The 16439-nt window shown below is 45.7% G+C and overlaps 1 protein-coding gene across 13 annotated transcripts in view; it reads left to right on the top strand.

Moving 5' to 3' along the window:
• The window catches only part of HAVCR1 (hepatitis A virus cellular receptor 1), a 39995-nt gene continuing 24844 nt past the window's right edge, over nt 1289–16439 (top strand). For 4 of the 13 annotated variants that reach the window (XM_017009339.3, XM_047417098.1, XM_024446019.2 and 1 more), the window contains exons 1-3: nt 11580–11775; nt 12617–12798; nt 15163–15495. In XM_017009339.3, coding sequence (XP_016864828.1) covers nt 12753–12798; nt 15163–15495 — 379 coding nt within the window. In that variant the 5' untranslated portion in view covers nt 11580–11775; nt 12617–12752. Of the gene's footprint in view, nt 1338–11579; nt 11776–12454; nt 12799–15162; nt 15496–16439 lie in introns of those variants that run through there. The other 9 variants (XM_024446023.2, XM_047417097.1, XM_024446022.2 and 6 more) reach the window with 6 other exon arrangements.

Here is a 16439-nt window from a genome sequence, read left to right as displayed (position 1 = left end):
CTTACTGTCATGAGCAGTTCAATTTGGTGTCCAGGTCCTGTGGTGGTCTTGGTTTGGGAGTGTACAGAGTTCTTTAAAAACTTCTCTAATCCCATCTGGTAAAAGCCCCATGCCACACCTACGGTGAACTCATTTTCGACAAAGGTGCCAAGAACGTACACCTTGTTCTTGGGGGTGAGAATGCTTAATGGGTTAAAAAAAAAAATAGAAAGAATGAATAAGAAGGCTGGGCATGGTGGCTCACACACATAATCCCAGAACTTTAGCAGGCCAAGGCGGGACGAGTGCTTGAGCTACTCAGGAGGCTGAGGCAGAAGGATCGCTTGAGCCCAGGAAGTCAAGGCTGCAGTGAACCATGAATGTGCTACTGCACTCCAGCCTGGGCAACAGAACAAGACCGTGTCTAAGAAAAAAAAGAAAGAAAGAAAGAAAGAAAAATCTAAGTGTTCCATTCTTAGCATGGGGTGCTCAATAAATATTTATTGAAGTAATGTTTGTTGCGTAACAAGAACAGTGGAATAGGAAAAGTTAACCTGGCTTTTATTTCTGCCTCTGCCCCCAGTGGCTTCTGTGGGTCCCACACTCTATTCCACTGTTTGGACCTTGGTTTATTCACTATAAATTGAGAAACTTGGCCCCAGGTAGTTTAAAGTCCTTTCCTGCACCAGCGTTCACAAAGTCTGTATAGTTTTTCAAGCCTGGAGTCTGACCTAACATCCAGATCTTGGCTGAATCTTTAAAAATAGCCCAGCAGAGCGTGGTGGCTCCCGCCTGTAATCACGGCACTTTAGGAGGTCAGGGAGGGGTGGATCACTGGAGGTCAGGAGTTAGAGACCAGCCTGGCCAACATGGTGAAACCCCGACTCTACTAAAAATACAAAAATTAGCCAGGCATGGTAGCGAGTGCTTTAGTTCCAGCTACTCAGGAGGCTGAGGCAGGAGAATCGCTTAAACGCGGGAGGTGGAGGTTGCAGTGAGCCGAGATTGGGCCACTGCACTCCAACCTGGGCGACGGACGGAGCAAGACTCCATCTCAAAACAAAAACAAAAACAAAAACAAAACAAAACAAATGCCCAGTAGAGAACAAGTACTGTAACAATCTCCCTGTAATCTGTTTAAATTTGTAAGTGGATCAAATCCAGTAAAAAGATCAGCCAACTGGAGAAATGTAATGTTCAAACGTGCTTCCCCGTATTCTTATGTAAAGGTGTGGCAAAGAGATAAAGAATGGAATTCTGGGAGAAAGTAGTCTTAATCTATAAAGATCTTTGGAGGAGGGCTACAAACAGACCAGGAGGAGGGAGGAGAAGCTGGAAAACCGCCTTCTAACTAACCGGTAAGTGCGGTCCTCTGGAAACTTATGACAAAGAGAAAATCAGGATATAGTTGCTTGGACTTTCGTAGTTTTATATGAGATATAAGGACAATAATGATTGAGCCAAGAAATTTAGGGGAAATTTACATAAAACAGAGTTTTTTGGATTTCCTGAGAAATTGGCTTTTATTTCAATGGAATCATGGACTGCCATAGTGGCCTTATTTAAACTTTGCCTGGGCAAGTTTAGTGTGAGAAATAGGAGGAAAAACTAAAACTGCAGAAAATTGTGTGGTACATTTGTGTTAAGCCGTATTTATTCAGGCTGGCTTGAAACTGTGACTTTAGGCGCAATACATACTTTTGGTGAGCTTCTCCTTATCTGTAAGATGGGTATTGTGTAATAATATGGAAATGTGTTGAGGGCATAGCTCTGTTAGTAGTTTTATAATTTTTAAAGTAAAAATATTAGGGGGCGTGGTGGCTCATGCCTATAATCCCAGTGCTCTGGGAGTCTGAAGCAGGGGGATTGCTTGAGCCCAGGAATCTGAGACCAGCCTAGGCGACATAGTGAGATCCGCCTGAAAAATAATAGAAAAATTTGCTGAGTGTGGTGGCACATGCTTGCAGTCTCAGTTACTGGGGAGGCTGAGGCAGGAGGATGGATTGAGCCTGGGAGGTGGAGGATGAAGTGAGCCAGAAAACTCTGTCTCAAAAAAAAAAATGTAAAAAAAAAGCCCATATAAAGATAATGTGCAGTAAAGCAGAAGCCTAGTACTGGCTGCTGACTTTTATGACAGAGTCTTGCTTTGTTACACAGGCTGGAGTGCAGTGGCTCAATCATAGCTCACTGTAACCTTGAACTCCTGGGCCCAAGCGATCCTCCCACCCCAGCCTCCTGAGTAGCTGGGACTACAGGAGTGCATCACCATGCCCGGCTAATTAAAAAAATTTTTTTTGTAGAGATACGGTTTCGCTATGTTGCCCAGGCTGGTCTCAAACTTCTGGGCTCAAGCAATCCACTTGCATCGGCCTCCCAAAGGGCTGGGCCTACAGGTGTAAGCCACAGCACCCAGCCTTGCTGCTGACTTTTTGTTTTGCTTTTTGAGACAGAATCTTGCTCTGTCACCCAGGCTGGGGTGCAGTGGCTCCATCTCAGCTCACTGCAACCTCCACCTCCCAAGTTCAAGCAATTCTCCTGCCTCAGCCTCCTGAGTAGTTGGGACTAGAAGCACCCGCAACCATGCCTGGCTAATTTTTTTGTATTTTTAGTACAGTTGGGGTTTCACCATGTTGGCCAGGCTGGTCTGGAACTCCTGACCTCAAGTGATCTGTCTACCTCGGCCTCCCAAAGTGCTGGGATTATACATCCGGCTGTTTTGTTTTGAGAACGGGTCTTGCTCACCGGGAGTGGTGGCTCACGCCTGTAATCCCAGCACTTTGGGAGGCCGAGGCAGGCAGATCACCTGAGGTTGGGAGATGGAGACCATCCTTGCTAACATGGTGAAACCCTGTCTCTACTAAAAATACAAAAAATTAGCTGGGTGTGGTGGCACATGCCTGTAATTCCAGCTGACACAGGAGAATCGCTTTAACCCGGGAGGCGGAGGTTGCAGTGGGCCGAGATCGAGCCATTGCACTCCAGCCTGGGCAACAAAAGTGAAACTTTGTCTCAAAAAATAAAAATAAAAATAAAGAAAAAGAGAGAGAGAGAGAAAGGGTCTGGTTCTGCTGCCCAGGCTGGAATGCAGGGGTGCAATCACAGCTCCTTGCAGCCTTGACCCCTGCTCAATTGATCCTTCAATCTCAGCCTTCCAGGTAGTTGGGACCACACACTTGTGCAACCATGCACAGCTAATTTTTTTATTTTTATTTTTTGTAGAGATGGGGACTCACTCTGTTGCTCAGGCTGGGCTGCTGATTTTTGAAGGTTTGTAGTAGTCTCATGTGTTAGAAATTATTGAGCTTGCAAAGATTAGTGAGTATAAGCAATTTGGTTTGTTTGGAACTTTGTGAAGCTTAGAGTGATAGGGTGTGACCAGCCTGGGAAGGTGGGCAGCTTTTAGAGTTTGGACTTTGCCTTAAAGGCACTGGCAAGCCATTAAATGCCTTTGAAGTGGAAATGATTTTAGAGAAATACATGGGAAGATTAAGAAGTTATCTGCTGATGTGAGTCCTCTTCCTCCCCCATAGCCTGCACCTGCAGGTAGCTGCAGAGCATCAACCACATGACCTCCTACTTCCAGTGATACCTGAGTGCTGCCAGATGGTGGAACATTTGTCCTTACTTCATTTGCTCTCCTAAAGCTCTCTTCAAATTCCCCAAACCTCTTCCCCATCCTTACTGCTAACCACAATCTCCGCCTCCCGGGTTCAAGTGATTCTCATGCCTCAGCCTCCTGAGTAGCTGGGATTACAAGCATGTACCACCACGCCCGGCTAATTTTGTATTTTTAGTAGAGACAGGGTTTCTCTGTGTTGGTCAGGCTGGTCTCGAACTCCCGACCTCCAGTGATCCGCCTGCCTCAGCCTCCCAAAGTGCTGGGATTACAGGCATGAGCCACCGTGCCCGGCCCTTACTGCTAACTTTTAACTGTTTCCTTTTTCACTGAGGAAGCAATCAACCTGGAGTTTCCCCAGACATATGTGCCCACTTAGCGTGTGCACCAACAGGCTATCCCTGGTTGTGAATTAGAACCTTCTACTTGGACAAAGGATCACACTCCTCTGTTTACTTGTTGCCCCAGCAAATTTTCCCTTTCTTCCCCTTGATTGTCTCCAGATCATACAAACATGCTGTTATTTTTATCACTTAAAAAAAAAACACCCAGGATTTTCTCCTTCCATTTTTGCAAAACTTTTATTTTTTTTTTGGAAGATGGGGACTCACTCTGTCACTCAGGCTGGAATGCAGTAGTACTACCATATCTCACTGCAGCCTCAAACTCCTGGGCTCAAGTGATCCCTCCCGCTTAGCCTCCCAAATGGCTGGTACTATAGGCACTCAAGTCCAACTGCTTTTCTCCATGCAAACTCCTTGAAAGTGTTTCCTGTATTCAATTATCTCCTGATTTTCCTTCTTGTAAACTTTTTACTGCAGTATAAAGTACTGGGGCTCACTGATAATCTCCAGCTTGCTCAGTCTATGACAAATCTTATTCCTTTCCTTTGCAGCATTTGACTCATGATTGCTGCCTGTTCTTTGATGCGTTTGCTTCACTTGGCTTCTAGGACCTTTTTGCTTTTTCTCTTACCTCCTTGGGCTGCTTCCATTTCTGTATTGGTGCCTCTTCCACCTCAGCATTTTTTTTTTTTTTTTTTTTTAAGACGGAGTCTCGCTCTCTCGCCCAGGCTGGAGTGCAGTGGTGCGATCTCGGCTCACTGCAAGCTCCGCCTCCCAGGTTCACGCCATTCTCCTGCCTCAGCCTCCTGAGTAGCTGGGACTATAGGCGCCCGCCACCACGCCCGGCTAATTTCCACCTCAGCTTTAACAAATTTTTTTAAAATTAATTAATTTTTTTTTTTGAGACGGAGTCTTGCTCTGTCACTCAAGCTGGAGTGCAGTGGCATGATCTCGGCTCACTGCGACCTCTGCCTCCCAGGTTCAAGCAATTCTCCTGCCTCAGCCTCCTGAGTAGCTGGGATTACAGGCATGCGCCATCACACCCGGCCAATTTTTGTGTTTTTAGTAGAGACGGGGTTTCACCATGTTGGCCAGGCTGGCCTGGAACTCCTGACCTCAAGTGATCAGCCTGCCTTGGTCTCCTAAAGTGCTAAGACTGCAGGTGTGAGTCGCCACACCCGGCCTTAAAATTTATTCTTATGTAGAGATGGTGTTTCACCATGTTGGCCAGGCTGACCTGGAACTCCTGACCTTAAGTTATCAGCCTGCCCCGGTCTCCCAAAGTGTTGGGATTACCTGCATGAGTCAACATGCTTGTCCCCATTTTAATCTTTTGATGCTGGAAGGCCCCAGGACCTAGTCCTTAGCATCAGGCATTCCTTTGAATCTCATCCTTTGAATTCCTACCTCATTCAGGCTCCTGGCTTTAAAATACCATTTTTTTTTTTTTGAGGCGGAGTCTCGCTCTGTCGCGCAGTGGCGCGATCTCAGCTCACTGCAAGCTCCGCCTCCCAGGTTCACACCATTCTCCTGCCTCAGCCTCCCGAGTAGCTGGGACTACAGGCACCTGCCACCACGCCTGGCTAATTTTTTGTATTTTCAGTAGAGACGGGGTTTCATCGTGTTACCCAGCACAGTCTCGATCTCGTGATCCGCCCACCTCGGCCTCCCAAAGTGCTGGGATTACAGGCGTGAGCCACCGCACCCAGCCAATACCATTTCTAAGCCAGTAACTTGTAACTGTATCTTTAGCTCAGACCTCCCTCCTGAACTCCAGCAGTCTCCACACAGGTCTAAGACATGTCAAACTCAACATACTTAAAACCCTGAATATTTCCTCTAAAACCTGTGGTCATGCAGGTTTTTGTTTTTTGTTTTTTGTTTTTTTTGAGATGGAGTCTTGCTCTGTTGCCCAGACTAGAGTGCAGTGTCACGATCTTGGCTCACTCCAACCTCTGCCTCCTGGGTTCAAGCAATTCTCCTGGCTCAGCCTCCTGAGTAGCTCAGATTACAGGCACCCACGACCATGCCTGGCTAAATTTTTGTATTTTTAGTAGAGACAGGGTTTTGCCATGTTGGCCAGGTTGGTCTTGAACTCCTGACCTCAGGTGATCCACCTGCCTTGGCCTCCCAAGGTGTTAGGATTACAGGTGTGAGCCACTGAGCCCAGCCTTTGCAGCTCTCCTTGTCTTAATTGGCTGGAACCTCCAGCTCTTCCCGTGGCTCAGGCCGAAATCCTTGGAGTCATCTTAGGCCCTTTCTCCTCATATCCTACAGGAAATCCTGTTTGCTCCACCTTCTCCACCTCCTTGGCTCAAGCCATTCTCCTGCCTCAGCCTCTTTAGTAGCTGGGACTACAAGTTGCATGCCAGCATGCCTGGCTAATTTTTCTTTTTCTTTCTTTTTTTTTTTTTTTTGTAGAGACAGGGTCTCACTATGTTGCCCTGAGCTCCTGGGCTCAAGCAGTCCTCCCGCCTTGGCCTCCCAAAGTCCAGGGATTACAGCTGTGAGCCATCACATCTGGCTACTCTAGGTTGAGTGAGGAAAGTTCATTGACCACTTCCACTGCTAACCCATCTCTTCTGGAATCTTTCCATAGTCTCCTGACAGGTCTTCCTGCTTCTCAATCTAGCAACCACAGTGGTCCTTCTCAAAGGAAGTTAGATACTGTCACCCTATGCCCTTGCAGTGGTGCTTCTTTTCATGTGGGGTGAAAGCCTATGTCCTCAGAATATGGCTCCTAAGCCCCATGTGTCTGTCCTCTGCCCTCACTCCTCTGTGATCCCTGTCCCTCGCTCTGTTGCAGTCACGCTGGCCTCTCTTGCCCTGTAAACACACCAGGCACCCTCCTGCCTTAGGGCCTTTGCCCTTCTTGTCTGTCTCCATGGAAAGCGTTTGCTGTCTTGGCTAACTTCCTTGTCCTTTGTCTTAGTTCAAATAATCACCTTCTTGGTGAAAGTAATAGAGACTATTCAAACCTGACCACCTTGTTTAAAATTGCAACTCAGTGCCTCCTCAACCCTCCACTCCCAACCACCTTCACCCTGCTCTTGTGTATCCTTTTGCCTTTTTTGCATTAGCATTCCTCAACTTGTAATATGCTGATAAATTACATTTTAGTGATGTTTTAAAAATCTGTATATTTATTTTTCAGTTAAAAGTTAGTTACATGAGGCCAGGAGTGGTGCTCACGCCTATAATCCCAGCACTTTGGGAGGCCAAGGCGGGCAGATCACTTGAGGTCAGGAGTTCGTGACCAGCCTAACCAACATGGTGAAACCCCGTCTCTGCTAAAATTACAAAAATTAGCCGGTGTGGTGATGCATGCCTGTAATCCCAGCTTCTTGGGAGGCTGAGGTAGGAGAATCGCTTGAACCCAGGAGGCAGAGTTTGCAGTGAGCTGAGATCGTGCCATTGCCCTCCAGCCTGGGCAAAAAAAGCGAAGCTCCATCTCAAAAAAAAAAAAAAAAATGTAAGTTACATGAGGCCAGGGGTCTTTGGTTCATTGGTACATTCCAGATGAATAGGATCATTTCTAACATATCGCAGATCATCAACAAATAATTGTTAAATGAGTACACTTTTGGTATTTTTATATATTTTCTTTCTTTCTTTCTTTCTTTCTTTTTTTTTTTGAGACAGAATCTCGCTCTGTCACCCAGGCTGGAGTGCAGTGGTGTGTGATCTCAGCTCACTGCAACCTCCACCTCCCAGGTTCAAGCGATTCTCTTGCCTCAGCCTCCCTAGTATCTGAGACTACAGGCACGCGCCACCACGCCTGGCTAATTTTTGTAGTTTTAGTAGAGACAGGGGTTTGCCATATTGGCCAGGCTGGTCTTGAACTCCTAACCTCAAGTGATCCTCCTGCCTTGGCCTCCCAAAGTGCTGGGATTACAGGTGTGAGCCACCATACTTGGGCTTTTATGTATTTTCTATGGTAAACATAGGTGGTACCCTGTAATTTTTATATCTTTGTAAAAGATATAAAAAAAAGAAGCATTATATTACTTGTTATGAAATCAGAGGAGTAAGTGAAGGAAAATAACTAGCTTAGGGCAGTGGGCAGGGCAGGAAGAGAACTGAAAGGTAGGAAGACAGTTTTGGAGGGAATTGCAGAAGTCTGGATTATAGAGGCCTAATATAAAGTGATGGGGATGAGGGAGAGACTGACAGGTACAATGATGTGGAGTTGGTGAGTCCCTAGTTGTGGAGGGGGCCTAAGAAGATCTTGCTGTGGTGAAAGCATGGGGAATATGAACAGCTGAACTGTTTTGCAGGAGGCTGGAGCTGGAGGTACGATGTGCGCTGAGATAGCAGGGAAGTAAGTGGTGATTGCAAGAAAGAACAGTGAATTATTTTCTTTTCTGAATTCTTTCTTTTTTTTGAGACAGGGTGTCAATCTGTTGTCCAGGCTGGAGTGCAGTGGCACGATCTCAGCTCACTGCAACCTCCACCTCCCGGGTTCGAGCAATTCTCCTGCCTCAGCCTCCCAAGTAGCTGGGATTACAGGCACCCACCACCGTGCCCGGCCCATGTTCTGAATCATTTCAATTCACTGCCGTTAATCTTGGTTTATACAGATGCAGCTCCCTAGTGAGCAGCTGGAAATTCAGCTTTGGTGCCCAAGTATTGTCACTTCCAGCTTTACCCTACAACTGGGATGCATCCTTCAGGGGGGTCATGAAGTTTGCCCTAAAGAGTAGTGATCCCTGGAGGTTGTATAGCTCATTAAAAAAATCCACTGTGCTATATTGTTTGGGAGTCTTTAGAACACAGGCGTCTCTCATGGGAGATGGTCCTGTGTCAGAAAATTCAACCCTATGGAATTGTACAGTTATGTAACATCTCAGAGCCTTGGCTCCACATCCCTGTCCTGGCTCTCTCTGGCTCATCATTTCCTCCAGTTGAAACACCCTCCACCCATTCTTCTCACATGTCACTTTTTAAGAAATTCTTCCCACCCCCCACATTCCGTCATCAAAATGAATGGTCTTTCCCTATGGGTTTGTGTTTCCATTTGTTTATCTATTCAATTAATAACTTTTTTTTTTTTGAGAAGTCTCACTCTGTGGCCCAGGCCAGAGTGCAGTGGCATGATCTCCGCTCAGGGTAAATTCTGCCTCCCGGGTTCAGGCGATTCTCTTGCCTCAGCCTCCTGAGTAGCTGGGATTACAGGCACCCGCCACCACGCCTGGCTAATTTTTGCATTTTTGGTAGAGTTGGGTTTCACCATGTTGGCCAGGCTGGTTTGGAACCCCTGACCTCAAGTGATCCTCCCACCTCGGCCTCCTTTGGATTACAGGTGTGAGCAACCATGCCTGGCTTCAACACTTAAATTGCCTTAAAGGAGTTTATGGTCTGGAGTTGGGTGCCACACAACACAGTCACTATGTGTGACAATTTAAATTTTATTTTTTTGTTTTTAATTAATTTATTTTTTTGAAAGCTCTGTCATCTAAGGCTTGAGTGCAGTGGTGCCATCTCAACTCCCCGAAGACTGTCTCCTGGGCTCAAGCAATCTGAAATTTTAATTAAAATGAAATTAAATAAAAATTTTTAGGCCAGGCATGGCGGCTCACACCTGTAATTCCAGCACTTTTGGAAGTTGAGATGAGCGTATCACTTGAGGCCAGGAGTTCCAGCCCAGCCTGGCCAACATGGTGAAACTCCACCTCTGCTAAAAATACAAAAATTAGCCAGGCATGGTGGCGCGTGTCTGTAGTCCCAGCTACTCAGGAGACTGTGGCAAGAGAATCACTTAAACCCAGGAGATGGAGGTTGCACTGAGCTGAGATTGTGACACTGCACTCCAGCCTGGGTGACAGAGTCAGGCTCTGTCTTGGAAAAAAAAAAAATTAAAAATGCCTTGGTTGCCTTAGCCACATTTCAAGTGCTCAATAGTCATATGTGGCTAGTGGCTGCTGTAGTGCACGACACTCACACAGAATAACTCTGTAACCAATATTCTACTGGAGACAGAATCGATCCTATGGAATTCAAATTCAAATCCTATGGAATTGTACAGTTATGTAACATCTCAGAGCACTGGCTCCACATCCCTGTCTTGGCTCTCTGTGGCTCATCAGTTCCAGAATAACTCCGTTACCAGAATAACTCCATTACTAAAATTCTACCGGGCAGCACTCTATAGGAGGGAATAGAGACAGACACCACATATATTGCACACACAGATAAAATGGATTAAGGAAAACAAGATAATAATAGTGAGAGGGACTGGTTGGCTACTTTAGATTGAAGGACCTGTGAAAAATGTCCAGGGAGGTCATATTTAAGCCGGGATAAAAATGAAAAGGAAAAAAGTGAAAATGGTGGGGCTGGGGAGCTAGATGGAGAACACAGCCACGGAAAAGGCCTTAGGGTTGAGGCAAGTTGGAAAGAAAGCTCTAGTAGCTGGGGCTGAGTCAGCAGGGGAGAGAGTGGTAGAAGAAATCTATGGGGTAGGTCAGGGCCAGACCACCAGGGCTTCAGTAATTTGAGTAAAGATTTAGGAATTATTATTATTATTATTATTATTATTTTTCTGAGAGAGTTATGAGAGGGTTATAAGTGGGGGAATGATGTAGTCTGATTATATATTTACCTTTACCTCACTTATCCTGATTTCATTAGTTGCTTACTTACCCATGTCCCTGCCCGATTGCACAAGTCTGGATTTTTGACGTCCCTAGTATATTGAGTCATGTCCCATCAGCTCAATATGTTAGTAATAACTGGTTGAATTGAATTAGCTTTTTTTTTTCAATCTTTTTTTCCTTAAGAAACAGGGTCTTGCTCTGTCACCCCGGCTGGTGTGCAGTGGCACAATCATAGCCTCCAACTGCTGGGCTCAAGCAACCCTCCTGCCTCAGCCTCCTGAGTAGCTGGGACTACGGTCAGGTACACAAGGCCTGACTATATTTTTTGTTCGTTTTTTTTGCAGAGAGGGAGTCTTGCTATGTTGCCCAGGTTGGTCTCAAACTCCTTACCTCAGGTGATCCACTTGCCTTGGCCTCCCAAAGTGTTGGGATTACAGGCGTGAGCCACTGTGCCTGGCAAGAAATGAATTTTTATTTTTATTTTTGAGATGGAGTTTTGTTCTTGTTGTCCAGGCTAGAGTGCAATGGCTTGATCTCGGCTCACTGCAACCTCCACCTTCCAGGTTCAAGCAATTCTTCTACCTCAGCCTCCTAAGTAGCTGGGATTACAGGCGCCCGCCACCACCCCCAGCTAATTTTTGTATTTTTAGTAGAGTCGGGGTTTCACCGTGTTAGCCAGGCTGGTCTTGAACTCCCGACCTCAGGTGACTGGCCTACTCGGCCTCCCAAAGTGCTGGGGTTACAGGCACGAGCCACCATGCCCGGTCAAGAAATGAATTTTTAAACGCTGCCATACAAAACACTATGCTGAGATCATCCACTTCCCCATGAACCCTGTCATGAGCTGCAAGATACAGACCACCACTGCCTCCTTGGAAGTTACTGAATTCTTAGACCAGAAGAGGAGTTAATGAAGTACTAGGCAAGCTTACTCATGTTTGTATGGTTTAATGATTAACAGCAGAAGTCAACAGCCCGATTTAACGCATGTGGGTGCTTGACACAGAGCCTGCTATATAGTATTCTCCAAAAACCTCAGCTAGTGCTATTACTGCATATGATGTAGGTTTAGTTTTCCAAGTTCTTCCGTGGCCCTTTTTGCTTATTATATCAATCCTTGGTGGGAGATAGAGGAAGCATTTTTAGTGCTATTTTACAACTGAGGAAATAGAGGTTTGAAGAGAACTCAGGAACTCTCAGGGTTACCCAGCATTGTGAGTGACAGAGCCTGGATCTGAACGTAAGTCTGCTCCAGACTTCTGTTTCCTGAAGCATTCTCTTGAAGTCCCTTGGTAAGGAGGTGTAGTCTGAAGCATGTTGTACAGGAGCATGAAAGGTTAGGCACAGTGATTCACATTCACTCTCAATTTCTCTTGCTAATGGCAAACTTGGCAATATGACTGTTAAGGCTAGGGATAAGTCGTTGTGGCCACTGAGTAGGAAAAGCTCCACGTCCACCAGAGGCCCAGTTTACTCTGAAAAGCAAGTGCATCTCTGCCACTGGAAGGCTGGCATTTGCTCTCGTGCTGCCATTGAGCCACGCTGGTTCTCTGCTTCCAGTTTCCTTTTCTTTTCTTTTTTTTTGTTTTGTTTTTTGAGACGGAGTCTTGCTCTGTCGCCCAGGCTGGAGTGCAGTGGCGCGATCTCGGCTCACCGCAAGCTCCGCCTCCCGCGGGTTCACGCCATTCTCCTGCCTCAGCCTCCCGAGTAGCTGGGACTACAGGCGCCAGTGACCACGCCCGGCTAATTTTTTGTATTTTTAGTAGAGACGGGGTTTCACCCTTTTAGCCAGGATGGTCTCGATCTCCTGACTTCGTGATCTGCCCGCCTTGGCCTCCCAAAGTGCTAGGATTACAGGTTTGAGCCACCGCGCCCGGCCCTGTTTCCTTTTTGTTTGTTCCCCTGATACCCTGTATCAGGACCAGGAGTCAGTTTGGCGGTTATGTGTGGGGAAGAAGCTGGGAAGTCAGGGGCTGTTTCTGTGGACAGCTTTCCCTGTCCTTTGGAAGGCACAGAGCTCTCAGCTGCAGGGAACTAACAGAGCTCTGAAGCCGTTATATGTGGTCTTCTCTCATTTCCAGCAGAGCAGGCTCATATGAATCAACCAACTGGGTGAAAAGATAAGTTGCAATCTGAGATTTAAGACTTGATCAGATACCATCTGGTGGAGGGTACCAACCAGCCTGTCTGCTCATTTTCCTTCAGGCTGATCCCATAATGCATCCTCAAGTGGTCATCTTAAGCCTCATCCTACATCTGGCAGGTAAGTGAGTAGGTGCCCTGGGCGGGAAGAAGGGAGTAGAGGGGGGTTAGAAGCCAGAGAATGGGGTAGGGGAAGGGGAGGGGATGGTGGTGGTGGATTAATGTAGATGTTCTTTGGGTACCGTTGTATGGCTATGAGTTAACTAGTGAGCAGGACCAGAATAAAGTTTTAGGCCAAAGAAATTGCTTAACTGCTGTGAATTACAACATTCATGGCTAAATGAACAAGGCAAGATGCAGCACAGTGTGTCACAGGCTGCCCTTTGTGTTTAAACAAAAAGGGTGTGGTTAGATGTATATGCATAGACACATGTATATAGGAAATAGTGACAGTGGGTAATGTGGGATGGGGGCAGAGGGTGGGAGGTGGAGGGAGAGTTAATCCTTATTGTATTTTTTTGTGCCTTCCGATTTTTTTCAGCCACATTCAATTCTCTTTCTTTCTTTCTTTCTTTCTTTCTTTCTTTCTTTCTTTCTTTCTTTCTTTCTTTCTTTCTTTCTTTCTTTCTTTCCTCTCTCTCTCTCTCTCTCTCTCTTCATGAGGTCTCACTCTGGAGTGCAGTAGGGCAATCTTTTTTTTTTTGAGACAGAGTCTCACTCTGTCGCCCAGGCTAGAGTTCAGTGGCGTGATCTCGGCTCACTGCAGCCTCCGCCTCCTGGGTTCAAGCAATTCTCTGCCTCAGTCTCCCAAGTAGCTGGGATTACAGGTACCTGCCACCACTACCAGCTAATTTTTTTGTATTTTTAGTAGAGACAAGGTTTCCCCATCTTGGCCAAGCTGATCTTGAACTCCTGACCTTGTGATCCACCTGCCTCGGCCTCCCAAAGTGCTGGAATTATAGGCGTGAGTCACCGCGCCTGGCCTAGTTGGGCAATCTTGATTCACTGCAACCTCGACCTCCTGGGCTCAAGTGATTCTCCCACCTCAGTCTCCCAAAGTGCTGGGATTATAGGCGTTAGCCACCACATCTGGCCTAAGTATTTTATTTTGAAATAAACACTTTAATTCAAAACATTCTATGAGATAAGGAAAGAGTAAAATAGACATATCCTAATTTTTAAACACAAATTTCTGGAGTGATATATGCCTTTGGGATTATGGGGGAAAAATAATCTCTCATTATATACTTCTATAACCAAATTGTAATAGCATGCATTATATGTGTAATCCAAAAAAATGATACTAGTATTAGGCAAAATTAAACAAGAATTTCTTGGTGGCCGGGCGTGGTGGCTCACACCTGTAATCCCAGCACTTTGGGAGGCCAAGGCGGGCAGATCACGAGGTCAGGAAATCGAGACCATCCTGGCTAACATGGTGAAACCCCGTCTCTACTAAAAATACAAAAAAATTAGCCGGGCGTGGCGGCGTGTGCCTGTAGTCTCAGCTGCTGGGGAGGCTGAGGCGGGAGAATGGCGTGAACCTGGGAGGCGGAGCTTGCAGTGAGCCGAGATCACACCACTGCACTCCAGCCTGGGCGACAGAGCAAGACTCTGTCTCAAAAAAAAAAAAGAAGAAATTCTTTTTAGAAAGACTTTGTCTAAAAAAAAAAATTAAAAGAATGCTAGCATAGAAAAATGCTTATAATCTCAAATTTTAAAAATTCCAGCTATATCAGCTAACTTGGAAAAAGGGGAAAAACCTTCCAGCTATAATGTCTATTTACAAGGCTGGGCATGGTGGCTCATGCCTGTAATCCCAGCACTTTGGGATGCTCAGGTGGGTGGATCACTTGAGGTCAGGAGTTCAAGACTAGCCTGTCTCTACTAAAAATACAAAAATTAGCCGGGCGTGGTGGCATGTGCCTGTAATCCCAGCTACTTGGGAGGCTGATGCATGAGAATTGCTTGAACCCAGGAGGCGGGGGTAGCAGTGAGCCAAGATCTTTGCGCCACTGCACTACAGCCTGGGTGACAGAGCAAGACTCTGTCTTAAAAAAATAAAAAATAAACAATTAAAAAATGAATAAAATATTTTTTTAAAGAAAGTAAAACAAGTAAAAAAAATTAAGAGAATTTTTTTTTGGGGGAGGGGGAGACAGAGTCTGCTCTGTCACCCAGGCTGGAGTGTAGTGGCACGAGCTCAGCTTGCTGCAACCTCCGCCTCCCAGGTTCAAGCACTTCTCCCTGCCTTAGCCTCCTGAGTAGCTGGGATTACACCACTACACCCCGCTAATTTTTGTAATTTTTTTTTTAGTAGAGATCGGGTTTTGCCATGTTGGCTAGGCTGGTCTTGAACTCCTGACCTGGGTTGATCTGCCTGCCTTGGTCTCCCAAAGTTCTTGGATTACAGGCGTGAGCCATTGTGCCCAGCCAAGATGAAATAGTGAGGGCTCATTCTCAGTTTGTCTTTTCTTCTTTGCAGATTCTGTAGCTGGTTCTGTAAAGGTTGGTGGAGAGGCAGGTCCATCTGTCACACTACCCTGCCACTACAGTGGAGCTGTCACATCCATGTGCTGGAATAGAGGCTCATGTTCTCTATTCACATGCCAAAATGGCATTGTCTGGACCAATGGAACCCACGTCACCTATCGGAAGGACACACGCTATAAGCTATTGGGGGACCTTTCAAGAAGGGATGTCTCTTTGACCATAGAAAATACAGCTGTGTCTGACAGTGGCGTATATTGTTGCCGTGTTGAGCACCGTGGGTGGTTCAATGACATGAAAATCACCGTATCATTGGAGATTGTGCCACGTAAGTTTTTCTTTGATATTTCTTGCTAGTTAATTGAATTTTCTGTTCGGTAGTAATTTTCTTTTTTCTTAATAGGGAAAGAGGAGGTTCCCGTAAGTCCTGTTTTTAAATAAACTCTTGTTCTTGGGAAATAGAATAACTTTTGTGTAGATGAAGTTACAAGGCCAAGCATAATTCAAGGTCAGGCTAGAATCAGCAAACTAGCTCCTACAGCAGTACAATTGTTCCTTGATATCTATGGGAAATTGTTTCCAGGACCCCCTTGATACCAAAATCTGCAGATGCTCAAGTCCCTATATAAAATGGTGTAGTATTTGCATGTAAACTATGCACATAGTCCCATATGCTTTAAATCATCTCTAGATTACTTATAACACCGAATACAATGTAAATACTATGCAATTGGTTGTTTTACTGAAATATTTAGGGAATAATGACAAACAAAAAAGTCTGTATTTGTTCAGTACAGCAGACAACATATCCTTCTTTTTCCACCATACATTTTCCATCCAAAGTCTTGGTTATATCTACAGATATAGAACCCACAAATATGGAGGTCCAAATATACTTCAAACATAGTAGTTGGCCCAAGAAATAGCATTTACTGTTCCATAGTAAAATACAGTGAATATTTTTATCAAGCTGAATTTATTCACCTTGAGGAACTGTCCTTTTTTATTTTTTTATTTACTTTTTTTGAGACAGAGTCTCGCTGTTGCCCAGGCTGAAGTGCAATGTCACAATCGTGGCTCACTGCAACCCTCTGCCTCCCAGGTTCAAGCAATTCTCCTGCCTCAGCCTCCCAAGTAGCTGGAACTATAGGCAGGCACCACCATACCCAGCTAGTTTTTGTATTTTGTGTTAGTAGAGATGGGGTTTCACCATGTTGGCCAGGCTGGTCTTGAACTCCTGACCTCAGATGTTCTGCCTGCCTCAGTCTCCCA

Source organism: Homo sapiens, chromosome 5 (assembly GCF_000001405.40).
Source record: "Homo sapiens chromosome 5, GRCh38.p14 Primary Assembly".
Taxonomy (NCBI): Eukaryota; Metazoa; Chordata; class Mammalia; order Primates; family Hominidae; genus Homo; species Homo sapiens.
Note: the sequence above shows the minus strand (reverse complement) of the source record. Positions and strands in the feature narration are given on the sequence as shown.